At 37.6% G+C, this 14,023-nt stretch overlaps 1 protein-coding gene and 1 long non-coding RNA gene across 13 annotated transcripts in view, besides 1 other annotated feature; one reads left to right on the forward strand and one right to left on the reverse strand.

The window, feature by feature from the left end:
* Window positions 1-14,023, forward strand: part of PALLD (palladin, cytoskeletal associated protein) — a 431,390-nt gene that overhangs the window by 60,902 nt on the left and 356,465 nt on the right. The window lies entirely within an intron of this gene.
* Window positions 1-14,023, reverse strand: part of LOC124900807 (uncharacterized) — an 84,414-nt gene that overhangs the window by 25,753 nt on the left and 44,638 nt on the right. The gene's annotated exons all lie outside the window — the stretch shown is intronic.
* Window positions 7,318-7,487: an enhancer, noted in NCBI's record as "experimental_76192 CRE fragment used in MPRA reporter constructs". NCBI's record gives its function as "activates a minimal promoter by MPRAs in K562 erythroleukemia cells, with activity observed for both the introgressed and non-introgressed 4:169486507 variant alleles {active_cell/tissue: K562}" and the evidence as "EXISTENCE:reporter gene assay evidence [ECO:0000049][PMID:34662402]".

Here is a 14,023-nt window from a genome sequence, read left to right on the forward strand (position 1 = left end):
GGTAGCTTTGCTCTCTCTGGTCCTGGTGATGGCTAAAACCAGCTCTTTTTCTCATTGAGTGCTTTGTAGGCTCTACAGAGCCTATGCAGAGCCCTTCGTCTCCTCATTACCAATGGCCATTTGGGACTCCTTCCTCAGCTCCTGCAAATCAGTTCCTCATCTTCAGCCTTTTTCTGATGAGGTCACCTCTCACCCCTACGGGCTACTGTGTTGTACCAACAGCAGCTCCATCCTTCATGTCCCATGTTTACTCATCCCCCAGCTCTGGCCCCCAAACTGCAAGTGAAAACCAGTGCTGGCAGATCAGCGCTTCCCTGGCTCCTCCACACAAAGGCACTCAGATCTCCTTTCCTGTGAAACTTTCCAGGACAGGTTAGACCCCAGTCCATGGTACACTTTACCTTTCTCAGGCAGGAGTCAGGCGCCAGCCCTCTGGGTATCCCACATGCAAGGAAGGCATTTCAAAGCGGTAGAGGTGGCCCTTCCTCCATCACCAGGCTTATGGTTTGGAGATAACACCCCTCCCTCAGCTCTTTCACAAACAGAAACGTGCCTGGCAGCAGCTCTCTCCAAGTGAGTCTCTTCACCAGCCCTTCTTCCCTCTCCGAACTCTGACCACTTTTTATATCCTTGATGCGCTGAAGGGCCCAAGAGTCTTGGAACTGGTTTTTAATTCCTTTCTTTGAAAATCCAAATATATGGATCTGTCTCAGATACACGTGGGTACCCATTATCCACCACCATGCTTGTGCTTCCATTGAAGCAGAGACCAGAGGAGCCCCATTCTAACATCCTGTTACATAAGTGAAAATGGAATTTCTTTGGAATGCCATTTATTGTCATGGTGCCAGGAGTTCATCATAATCAACATTACAAAGGAAATACCAAAGGAAGCAATAATGATTTGCCATTTATTGTAAAACATGACCTAGGTGTGTCTTTTTTCTCTGTTTATAAAATGACAAGGTTCAAATTATAATGTAACTTTCCACATAGCAATTGAAATCACAGACTGAGAGGTTATTACAGGACTAGGTTGGAATGAATAGATTATCCATATGATTTGATTTACCCTAATATAGTTTCTTTTAGTTCCAACATGAAATCTCCCCCTTTTAACTCACCCTGAATTACAAATGACTTAACAGAAGCAGAAATATTTTCTCTGGAAAAACATAGTAAAGTGTAAATGGAACTCTGGATTTTTAGCCATAACAAGATTTTTACACTGTATTTCCCCCGATGTATCTGCCTTAAGATTCTTCAGTCACTTCATGTTGACTGTTTAGCCTCTGAAAACTCTAATTAGTTTAACAAGTTAGCCAGCCAACGCCACAGCAAGACTATACACAAATAGAGAAGATCAGGTCAGTTTTGCTGAAAAGAAGGATCATTAAAGGTACAGAGCATGAGATATTGACCCAACCCTTCTGATAAATGATACAGAAACTATTTGCTCATGAACGAGTAAACTATGCCCCCACCTTGACACTGAATTTTAATCACTAGAAATGGAATTATATCAAAATTCAAACATAGCTGAAAAATTTTAAGATAACATGTTTAAATATGCACATTTCAAGTAAAAGAACATTATTATAGTGATAATATCAGAGCCATTTGCAGAGAACTTTTGAGTCTTATCAAGAAAGCAATACATAGGCTGGGTGTGGTGGCTCACACCTATAATCTCAGCACTTTGAGAGGCCGAGGTGGGTGGATTGCTTGAGCCCAGGAGGTCGAGACAGGCCTGGGCAACATGGCGAAACCCCATCTCTACAAAAAATACAAAAATTAGCCAGATATGGTAGTGTGCCTAGCTACTACAGGCACCTGCCTGTAGTACCGGCTACCCAGGGAAGTTGAGCTTGCAGTGAGCTGTGATCACACCACTGCACTCTAGCCTGGGCAACAGAGTGAAACCGGGTCTCAAAAAGAAAGAAAGAGAGAGAGAAAAAAAAAGAGAAAGAGAGAGAGAGAGAGCATGCAAGCAAGCAGTATATAAACCAGTGAATTTTACCTGGCGCTTTTAAAAATAATATTTGAGTTCATATGAAATTCAAATAGCATCTTACAAATTTCAATGTATATTTCCTAGAAGTAATTCAAGGTACCCTCAATATATGCTGTCAGGTAGAGTATAAAGGGGTGTAATGATCAATGCAGCAACTTCATGACAGACATGAGCTGAAATGGGTTGTAGAATGTTCTTTCTGAAGACCCATAATTAGATTTCTAGCTTGTTGTTCAATAAAATAGTTCAGGTACCCTAAGTGAAGTACATGACCTCTCAAACAAGAAAACTGTCTCATTCTGCAAGGCCAGTTGCTTGCTTTTCACAGTGACACCCATCACCTTACTGAATCCTTTAAGAATGAAGTTCTTCTTGTCCAGTAACACTGCAGCTGGAAACAAGGCAGACGCTGGAAAGCACTAGAACTGTGCACAATGTTGACAGTGTAATCTGAAACTACTCAGCAGTTCCTAGTATCAGGTTCACACATAATTTGAACCAGACAGATTTCTTTTGAAACTTTCTCTTAAAAGTTTCATTTAAATTGGAAGACGAAGAGTATGAGTATCAAGAAATTACTCTTAGTAATCCAAATGAATTAAATGATCCTAAAATGATTTAAGTGATTCATAGCACTTTCCCAAGCAGTCTCTGTCCCCATAGTACCGGTTTCTGTATCAAGCTGTCAGGAGATCAGAGAAGAAGCTCATTAACCCAGTCAGACATGTATTCAACCAACATTTGAGTTCCTAGTAAGTGCCAGGTACTGTCATAAGCACCAAACCTATTAGTTTTGTGGAAGGCAGGTCTAACCCTGTCTTTAGGAAGCTTTAACCCTTATATCCATATTCACAGAAAGCTGACCTACCAGTTGAATGCCCACTCTGGATATGGGCAAATATTTTATTCTATTTTTAAAGTGCATACATACACACAAGTACTCTAGCATAACTAAGCTGTTGGTTATGATTTATTTGCTTTGAAAAGCAGAGTTGCCTGCAATAATAGAGGAAGCACTGTCAGTGGAAAAGTAGGAAAACACATCTGCAGTCAAGAGGGAGGCATTTCAGTGCCTGTTATTATGCCCTGGAGCCAAGATGATGACAGTGAGACATGAGCAGCCCTATATCAACCCAGTTCTGTTGGGTTCTGTGCTCTGAGGCCTCCCTGGATGCAGTCAAGGATAAGTCAGTGAAGCCCAAATCACCACCAAGACCCCTTCCTTTCCCAAAGTTGCTATAGACAGATACACTACCTAATAAGGGCTAATAAGCAGACGACCAATTTTCTTTTTTTTTCTCTCTCTCTTTTTGAAACAGGGCCTCACTCTATCGCCCAGGCTAGAGTGCAGTGCCACAATCACAGCTCACTGTAGCCTCCACGTTCTAGGGTTAAACGATCCTCTTACCTCAGCCTCCCAAGTAGCTGGGACTACAGGCTACTACAGAGAATGGACCATTGTGCTCAGCTAATTTTTAAATTTTTTTTTGGAAATAGGGGTCTTGCTATATTGACTTGGCTGATCGTGAACTCCTGGCCTAAAGTGATCCACCTGCCTTGGCCTCCCAAAGCTCTGGGACTACAGGTCTGCACCTCTGTGCCCAGCCCCAGATGACCAACTTTCAAAAATCCTTTTCAAGTTAGAAAAAATATATTCAAAACATATTCATACGCTTTTTTCTTAACTTATTTTTCTTAATCTTCATTCATGCATATAACTCACAGATTATTCAAACTTCTCTTATTATTTTTCTAACCCTTTAAAGAGGATTTCCAAAGCTTAGCTTTACTTGAAGTAGAGTGGTTCCCATCCATTGATATTCGGGGGAAGTAGTTCATCTGAAATGAGGCCAGTATTGAGACTTCAACATATATAAACTTAATTATTTCAGGAGGAATGTCCGTGGGAAAAAAAAGAGCTACCGTGACTTTTCCCTCCACTAATCAACAGATATTTCCATATGATAATAATATTTAAATTACATGTATTTGCTCAGCACTTTACACTTTACAAGGCACTTTTACAGACATTGCCTAAATATTTATTCTCATAACAGCTGGATTATTATCTACAGGTGATGAACTTAAAACTCAGAGAAGTGGAAAGATTGGCTCAAAGGTCACAAGGATAAAAAAAAAAAAGGAATGCAGACACCGTACTTCTAATTCTAAGCCTCTTTTCACTCTATCAAATTACCTTCCAGTATGTGCCATGAGTCATAGGAAGAACATCATTTCTACAGTCACCGAATATCTGTTCTGTGCCTTTTATATTTCTGGCACTGTACTAGGTGATTTACATATATTATTTCTAAACCTACCAGTGTTTAAAGTAGCAAACAAAGGCACAGAGGAGGTAAGTACAGCCTGAGATTCATTCATTCATCCATCATTAAAGAAGTTCAGGAGTAAGTCTGTGTTCTAAGCACTGGAGATATCGCTATGAACAAGACAGATTAGGTTTCTGCCTTCAAGTTTATGTGCTGGCAAGAGGAAAAAGATAGCAAATACATAAACAAATAAGTAAGTAATGTAATTTTAAATGGTGTTAAGTTCTTGAAAAAGATAAAGATGCAGGCTGGAAAGTAACCAGGACTACAGGATTACTTTAGGTGGTGTGGTCAGGGGAGATCTCCCTGAGAAAGAAATAGTTCAGCTGAGAGGAAAGTGTTGCTGGAAAAGAAAACCAGTAGAGAAAGGCACTGAAATGGGAATGAGACAGGCATGTTTGAAGAGAGGGAAGGAGGCCAGTGTGGCTGAACATGGAGGGTCCAGGAGGTGACCCTGAAAAGAATGGAGCCGTGTGGGGACTCTAGGCCGTGGAAAGGAGGTTGGCCCTCATTCTAATTGCAATGGGAAGCCATTAGATGATTCTAAGAGAGAAGAGTGATCTAAGTTTTGTTTTCAGAAGATGCCTGCAGCTCCATCGTTTGTGTAGAGAATGGACTATATAGAAGGGTATGTGAAAGGCAAGAGATGAGTGAATCCAAACGGAAAATAGAAGTGGAGATGGTGAAAAGAAGTTGGATTTGCGGTATATTTTTAGAGAGAGAGCTGGAAGAACTTCCTGGAAGATTGTTTGTGGGGAGTGGCGGACAGAAGAATAAATAATGATTTGGGGCCTGAGCAAGTGAGTGGATAGTGGATCTGTTAGCTGAAATGGGAACAACTGGTGGGTGGGCAGGTTTCACAGGCAGGTGGTTGAGAAGACAGTTGGTGTCAAGCTTCTGTTTTAGACATGTTAAGTTGGAGATACCTATTAGGCATCTGACTAGTGATCTCAGAGCAGTTGTACGTAAGAATCTGGAGCTCGGGGGAAAGGGATCAGAAGTGGCTTACATAAGGCAGTTAAAGGCATGTCTTTTCTGCTAGGAAATGAGACTTAGGCAGAGCCTTGAGGTTCTCTATCATTTAAAGACACATAGACCATAACCAGAAACATCATGCTGTCAGTCAGATATCTTTCTATTACATCACTCCATCTCCATGATTAAAGTCAAATCTCAGTAAAACTGAGCACATCAAGAAACCCCAAAAATATTACATATAAAACTATTTGCCAATTTTCCTCTTCAGCCTTTTCTTTTGTTAGTAATTTTAATTTGTCTTTTAAATGAATGTAGATTTTCAAGTGTGACATTTTAGCAAGGTCAAACTGTTCATTATCAGTTAAAGTCATATGAAAAAGTGGTAATGTTCCCTATTTATATATATAATGCATTATAAAAAACTTTTGCTTGATGTGATGTGAGTTACAAGCTAAGATTTTCCAAGAACAGGTAGTTCTCCATTATATAAATCTCTTTCTCAAGGCATTGATTGTCTGTCTGTGTTCTACTAATGACCAAGAATTGTGAAGCAACTCTAGTTCTGTGGAAGAAAAACATTTTTAATAAAAACTTATTCATATGAATTTATGGGGTACAAGTGTAATTTTGTGACATGCATAGATTTTGTAGTGTTTAAGTCAGAGCTTTTAGGGTATCCATCACTCAGATAATACACCTCGTACCCATTAAGTAGTCTGCCTTCATCACCCTTCTCCCAGCCTTCACCCTTCCCAGTCTCCATTGTCTGTCCACATGGAAGAAAATCTCTCTGGGCTTCATTAGGATGAGAAGATGAGAGTTTTATTCTGAGCCTAGCTGTCCTTTACTATGACATTATCATAGTTCATAGTATCCAAATGTGACTCACAGGGAATTCACTCAACAGTTACTGAGATACCTGAATTAACATTTCTAGGTCTTTTGTTCAAATGTTAATAAAGCCAGTGCTTCTTAGAGGCGAGGTGAGGTTAGATAAGGTCACGTAGACTCCAACATAACCAGTGTCTCAAGTGAGGTGACCTATTCTCCTTCAACCTACCATGACGTTAGCATTTCATCTCTTCACAATTTTTTCTATAAACATATAACTGCATATTACATTTATTTCTTTGTCTACTTAGCAAGGATCTGTTCAGTGTCTATGACATAACACTGTTAGGCACAGATAGAAATACAAATGAAATGCATTGCTCTTCAAGGTCTTACTAGAAAAGATGAAATAATCTAAAATTGTGGATAGACTAAACAAGATGTTTTCTATATATGGTCGAGGAGGGATTATATAATGCCTATTAAAATTCTTGACTGAGACTAATGACAGAAATCCATGGAGGATTTAAACATTTGGGGGCTAAACCTATGGTAATAAAATAACAGCCTATATAAATTACATGTACTATTATATATGCACAAAATGAATTTCTCTGGGATCTCAAGGACATTAATGTAATTATTCATTTCAAGTTTATATATTTATGTTTTTAGAGAAAATCACTATAGATTAAGTCATAGGTCTCTACATTGATCAAAAGCAGATCCACCCTCATATTTGCTCCCATAAGGGGACCACATACTTTCTTAAATTTAACATTATATTACCCTTAAGAAAACTTGGCTGGGTGCAGTGGCTCATGCCCGTAATCCCAGCACTTTGGGAGGCCAAGGCAGGCAGGTTGCTTGAGCCTAGGAGACCAGCCTGAGCAACATGGTGAAACCCCATCTCTACCAAAAAAAAAAAAAAAAAAAATTCGCTGGGCATGGTGGCACATGCCTGTAGTCCCAGCTACTCAGGAGGCTGAGGCAGCAGATGGATTGAACCCAGGAGGTCAAGGCAGCAGTGATCCTGGGAGGAAAATGAGACCCTATCTCAAACAATAGAAGGAAAAGAAGCTTTAGTCTTTCACTTTTTTTTTTCTGACCAATGCCACCAACAAAAGCAACTATTCCTGTTCAAACTTACATTCATTAAACAAATATTCATTGAATGTTTATTATAGGCTAGATGTTTCAGTAGCCTCTGGGGATACAAGGGGATATTTAGAGACCATTCCATGCTCTCGGCACAAGTAATTACACATGTGATGAGTGCAGCACAGAGCTGGGGGAGATGCAACACCTCTGCAGGAGGCTTAGAGATAAGTCAGGAAGGAAGGTGTTCCAGACCAAGAAAACCAAACCTGGAGGTAAGAAAGAACACGGTGCATTCATTCAGCTAAAACCTATCCAGCTTGACTTAAGCCAGAGGAGCTCCAGAGAGAGGCACATGAGGAGACTGGGGAGGTCAGGTGGCCAGGTCTAATGTCATCTGGAGGTCAAGGGAAAGCCAGGAGGTCCTCCAGCAGGAAAACACAGGTGCAGATTTACACTCCGAGAAGACCACTCCTAGAAGCTCAATTCTGCTTCATGGTATTACTAGTTTATTAGTGAATAATATACTTTACATTGTCACCATCACCCCACTTCATGAAAAAGAAGAGCTCATAAAAAAGAATCTGTATTGAATTGAAAGGTAAAGCTGTCATAATTGAAAAGCTGATTCCTTGTCATATTTTTTTAATGCTCCATGAAATTTTATAGCCTTGAGAAAATTTTGACTTCTAAATCTAGCCAAATAATGCTAGTGGCTGTTGCAGAATTAGTGTGTTTTGTGTTATATAATGGTGTGGATTTTTTTTTCTTCCTTAAAATACTCTTAGAACTTTTGACCTGTCCTGTGACTGAATTCTGGATACTATTGGTTATAATAGTGCAAAACAGGTCAGAGATAACATAGGATAAATAATATAGTCTCTTAGCACTTAGCCAATCTCTTTGGCCATCATCCCACAGAAAATATTCTTCAGGAGTGCTAAGGTATCAGTTATTAGAAAGTAATCTATTTTTAGAAACACCAAACTCAGCTTACCTTCTTTTCTAGATTTAGACCTTGTTTTAAAGAATACAATTCTTTCAGTTTTTCACAGGGAGACATTTATCTATACTAATCAATTCCACTAATTTATTTATTTATTTTTAATTTTGAGACAGAGTCTCACAGTATCACCCAGGCTGGAATGCAATGGTCGATCACAGCTCACTACAACCTTGATCTCCCAGGGTCAATCAATCCTCCTACCTCAGCCTCCTAAGTAGCTGGAGCTACAGGCATGAGCCACCAAGCCCGGCTAATTTTTTATATTTTTGTCGAGACGGGGTCTCCCTATGCTGCCCAGGCTGGTCTCAAACTCCTAGTCCTATGAGTTCCTCCTACCCCAGCCTCTGAAAATGCTGGGATTACAGGGATAAGCCACCATGCTCAGCTATCTCCACATATTTATGTCATGGAAATTGTACTGATTCTTGAGTCCATGAAGAGTCCATGAAGATACAAACATGTTCTGTTCAATAAACATATTGTTGTTAGCATGCTTCTTTCTACAGTGGCGTGAGGATTACCATCTCATTATTTTCCTATACTCTTAGTTTTAACCAGCTATTAAAATAAAGTGCTAAGCAGAAGAAATCTGCATATTAATATAAACATTGGGCTCATTTATTTGTGTGTTTTTCATGAACACATGATGAGGTGTTTCTGGATAGTGTGGATTGGTCAGGCCCAACAGAGATCAGCAAATGCAGTGAAGCCAGAGATACACCAGATTGTTCTTTCAAAACTTCCTCAGGAAACATGTTGTCTTAATTGAGGAGGCAACACAGAAAAACAACTGGAACCACATTCTGCAGCACTTTTTCTAGCTATGAGCATTTATTACCTTACTTGAACAGTGAGTTGTCTCTGTAGCTCCATTTTGTAAGTAGCCAAATTTTAGTAGCATCATGTGGTTCTCACATGTTTGAGTTAAAAAATTATTTTTATAAAAACAAAAATAGACAAATAAGATTTAGTTTAACTAAAAAGCTTCTGCACAGCAAAAGAAGCAGTCAACAGAGTAAACAGACAACCTACAGAATGGGAGAAAATATTAGCAGACTAGGCATCTGACAAACGACTAATAATTGGAATCTACAAGAAACTCAAACAACTCAATAAGAAATAAACAACTCTATGAAGAAGTAGACAAAGGAATCAACAGACATTTTTCAACAGAAGACACACAAATGGCCAAAAAACATATGAAAAAATGCTCAACATTACTAATCATCAGAGAAATATAAATTAAAACCACAAAGCAAATGGAAAGCAAAATTGTGGAATCAACCTAAGTGTCCAATGTCCATCAATGGTTGATTGGATAAAGAAAATGTGGTGTGTGTGTGTGTGTGTGTGTGTGTATGTAGATATATATATTATACATTATATATAATATATATAATATACACACATGTACACCATGGAATACTACTCAGCCATAAAAAAGAATGAAACTGGAGGCCATTATCCTAAGTGAAATGACTCAGAAACACAAAGTCAAATGCTACATGTTCTCACTTATAAGTGGGAGCTAAACAATCTGTACACATGGACATAGTGAATGGAATAATATACAATGGAGACTCCAAAAGGTGGGAGGATGGGAGGGGGGATGAAAAATTACCTATCGGGTACAATGTACGCTATTTGGGTGATGGGTATACTAAAAGCCAAGACTGTACCACTACATAATATGTCCATATAATAAAACTACATTTGTATCCCCTAAATCTATAAAGTTTTTTAAAAAAGAAGTGATTTTAAAAAATCAAACTTTTCCATTGGATTATCTATTGAGATTCTTTTCAATTATCTACAAATATTTTTCATTTTAGTTTTTAAAAATACTCTAAATAAAAGCTGAAATTTCTTACTATTCTAGGCCAGAGTTTAAAGCAACATGGGCCCTTTTGGTTTTATGAATATATTAGTTTATTAGTTTTTATTTCTATTAGTAACCAATAAATATATAGCAAAAAAATCATTAGGCTTTATCGACCTAGTGATAAAGAGAAAATTAGAGGTACATAGATAATTTCCATCATAATTGATCATTTTTAGAAATTCTATAGCAGAACACTGAAAAGCATCCTACTTGTTAAGCAATTTATTCCATTTTTCTCATGGTATTGGGTACACTAAAAATTGGTCATTAAAGGCATATTGAATATTCTTGTTTTCATGTACCTCTGTTCATTATATGAAGTTCAATTCAGGATTTGAAGTCTTTCCTTCACACAATCCCACAAAAATGCATATGGTGAGTATAAATTGAAAAAAATAGGGTATTTCTCTAAATGCAAAAAGAAAAACATCTGTCTTTAAATTTTTTTAAACCCTGCCTAAATTGACATGTGCTTTACATTAGTCCTGTATTATTCAAACTTTCATACTTATGTGTGCATTATGTATGCTCACACACACTTTAGTGATGGGGTTTGTGTATGTATAAGGTACCTGCAAATCCAAACTACTTCATTTGAAATTTGGGAAATTTTTCCTAAAATAACTTCCACAAATATATGTGTGTATGTAGGTATATATGTATATTTTATATGTAAATATTTATATATGCATATTATATATAATATATGTATTCTACAAATGTATTATATATCTATAAAATAGTACCATGGAATGCTTTAAATATATTGTAATTGGTTTTCAGAGTTGGGGTGTGTGAGTTGTTCTATATTTTAAGGATAGTGTCCTTTTTAGGAAAACATTTAAGTGTGATCTTTTAGATAGATGTGCCTTCCTGAAGAAGGAAAGACTAATTTAAAAAAAAGAAAGAAAGGAAAGAAATTATCTCCTGGTCTGGTTTACTTTTTGCAACAGCTGTTAAAATTCGGACAGTGACAGAGAAATATCTGTAGCAGCTCTACAGATGTTTACAAAAGAAAAATATCTCCTTTACCTGCCTTGGTGAGCATCTTATCAGCAAGCACATTAACTCAAACAATAGCTACTCTTATCTGCAGAGGACAGGTTCAGGCTCATTAGTGAAGTGAACTGGCAGCCACTCCCCTCTACATAGCAACTGGAGCAAATATTGTTCCAGCCCGCCAAGTGACCAATGAGAACTGAGATAGTGCCGTGGAATCTTTTCAATACGAGTAGTGTTAGTGTGAACAACCTCTCTTTGACTCTCATTCGCCTTCTCATTTAATCCTACCATTTCAAGAGAATGATCTCATCTACAGACTGTAAATACTTGGGGACTTTTATGAAGGGAAAATATTACAAAGGGCTGAAGTTTGCTTCAAGAACAACTTAGGTAGGCACTTCAGTTTAATTACTAGCAACTTGCATATGTTGTGGTATTTCAAAAGGGCTGTAGTGTTAGTACACTCATTATGGAAATTTCTAAATGTCAGTGTATGAATCAGTAACGGTGATGATTTTTATTATTCTAAAAAGATCTCTAAGATAACTAAAATTAAGCAGGCTGCACGTTCTCTAATCATGTAATGAATGAATCAGGATTCTTGTCTGAGATGCAGGCCAAATGTGCTCTGGAACTGGTTAGTGCGGCATATGGTGAATCTACATCAGACTTGACCCCCGCAGGTTTGTAACTGAAACTTTGTATAAATTGACCACACCCTTCATTAACTCTTCTGCTGCCTAGAAAATAATAAAAATTGTGAAGTGGGACTGATGGCTTTTGAAAAATACAATCAGGGGCTTGTGTCTCTTTGCAATTCTAGAAGAAACGTCACAGGATTTTAATTCCTGCCAAGCAATATTGACCACGTTTCCTGTCTCTTCCCTTCTTGTGCTTTTTGCCTTGCTTTATGATGCTGGCAAGTATGGAAGCCTTTATCTACCGTGTAAATGTATATCGTTGTAATTCAACAGGGAACCGGGCTTCAAATTACAGCCTCCGAATGCAATAACCTTGGTTATTTACCGAGTACAAAGTAAACAACTTACTTTACTGTCAAAAGTTTTACTGCAATATGTTGCGGGGCTTACTACTAGAACAACCATTCAATAATTGTCTGTCTATTTAACGGGCGGATTTTATTTCAAACCAAATAGATACTGTCTTTGTAAATGCTGAAATGTTTGGTTTTTGTTTTTAGCCCAGAAGAAAATTCCCATAAATACAAACCCATTCTGGCCACCTAAGAATTTTGTCCTAGAAGTGGCATGCTTTCTTTCCCTTACGGGTTTTAAAACTTGGCCACATGGTATTTTTAAGTTGGCAAAGTAATACCTTTTAGACACGCCTTCAGGATTTTGCTTAATTGAGTACAGCAGGTTAACAAAAGTGCCAATGTTCCTTTAAAACAAAAACCAAAATGCTCTGTGGACTTAAAGCTAATGCTAAATATTAGATTAAATTGCCAATTGCACTTTTCCATGTTTATCTTCTGAGATAGGAATAAAATTAAAATGTGTTACCATAGAAGCATCTGTAACATTTTATGAGACAAAAGATCCTTTTTTCCACACAAAGATCCAAGCCAAAAGCATTATCCATTAAGGAAAGCAATAAGGCTAGAGGGACATTTTTTTATAGTCATATTATGGAAATACTAAAGATCCAATGTCCTGAAGTCAAATTGGGAAACACAGCTGTTCACATTCATTTTTGTCCTGGATTGACACTCTTGGTTAATTCCTGAATATTGATCAGTTCTTATCCTCCAACATCCCTAAAACTGGAAAAGTTTTCTCCTATCCACATTTATTCTCAAATCACATTTTAGGGAATAACAAAGAGGTGAATATAAATCTATGCCTTGTGAAGCATTTATTTAGGCTCTATGCCTGACTTGGTTTTGTAATCTTGATTTTTATTCTCTGGAGCTTATTTCTTTGGCTCTCTTCTTTGAAAATAATGGCAGGGTTCTCATCTAAAGAAAAAACATAGAGAGCTTTTAAAACCTTGCAGTCCATGAATTTTCTTTGCATTTCATCCTAACCACCGTTGCCTTCTTTACCATTCAGTTCTCCTTTCTCCCAGAAGCTTTCCAGAGTTTCTTCCCTCTTTTCCTTCTGCTTCATTTATTCTGCACCACATGCTCTAAAACTTACCAGTTCATTCATCTATTTACTCTATGTGTGATTCTGTGAACTGTAAGTAGAAGATTCTAGCTGGATCCATTTTAAAACTAAGATAACTTTTTTCCCCTAAACGTAAGCACTATGTCCAAGTTATCAATCAAATTTATCTGCTTTGATAGTTGACTCATTACATACCTGAAACTGGAAAAGTTTTCTTCCATTCACAATTCTTAGGTTAGCTTAATATTTACGTAACTTATCAACCATTCAATTAGAAGTTTTTAAGTATATCTAAGGAAAAAATTTTAATTGCAATCCCTGACTTCATTTAAATTCCAGTTGACTCCCAAAATGTGTTACTTTTCACAGATCGAGAATTTGTAAAACTATAGAAGTCAAGCCACTCAGTTCTCTGTATTCTCCTTGTCTGTTGACAATTTTTAGCATTCTTTAGAAATCTGGTTTTATCGGCAGAATGCAAGATTCTTGAAGGTAAATTTCATGCTATGAACATCAGCCTTCCACAACTGCTTATTGAGTAGACTACTAAGCCAAAGAATCTTAAAGCTTTCTCTGTAGATTTTAAACCTGAAGAGAAGTTAATGTTCTGAATAATTCTATTGCCTCGAGACTACTGTAGATGACTGAGTTACAGCATTTTTGTTTATAAGAATTATCAGTGCCAGGCCTGACTGAGTTACAGCATTTTTTATCAGTGCCAGGCCGGGCATGGTGGTTCACACCTGTAATCCC

This window comes from Homo sapiens, chromosome 4 (genome assembly GCF_000001405.40).
Source record: "Homo sapiens chromosome 4, GRCh38.p14 Primary Assembly".
Lineage (NCBI taxonomy): Eukaryota > Metazoa > Chordata > Mammalia > Primates > Hominidae > Homo > Homo sapiens.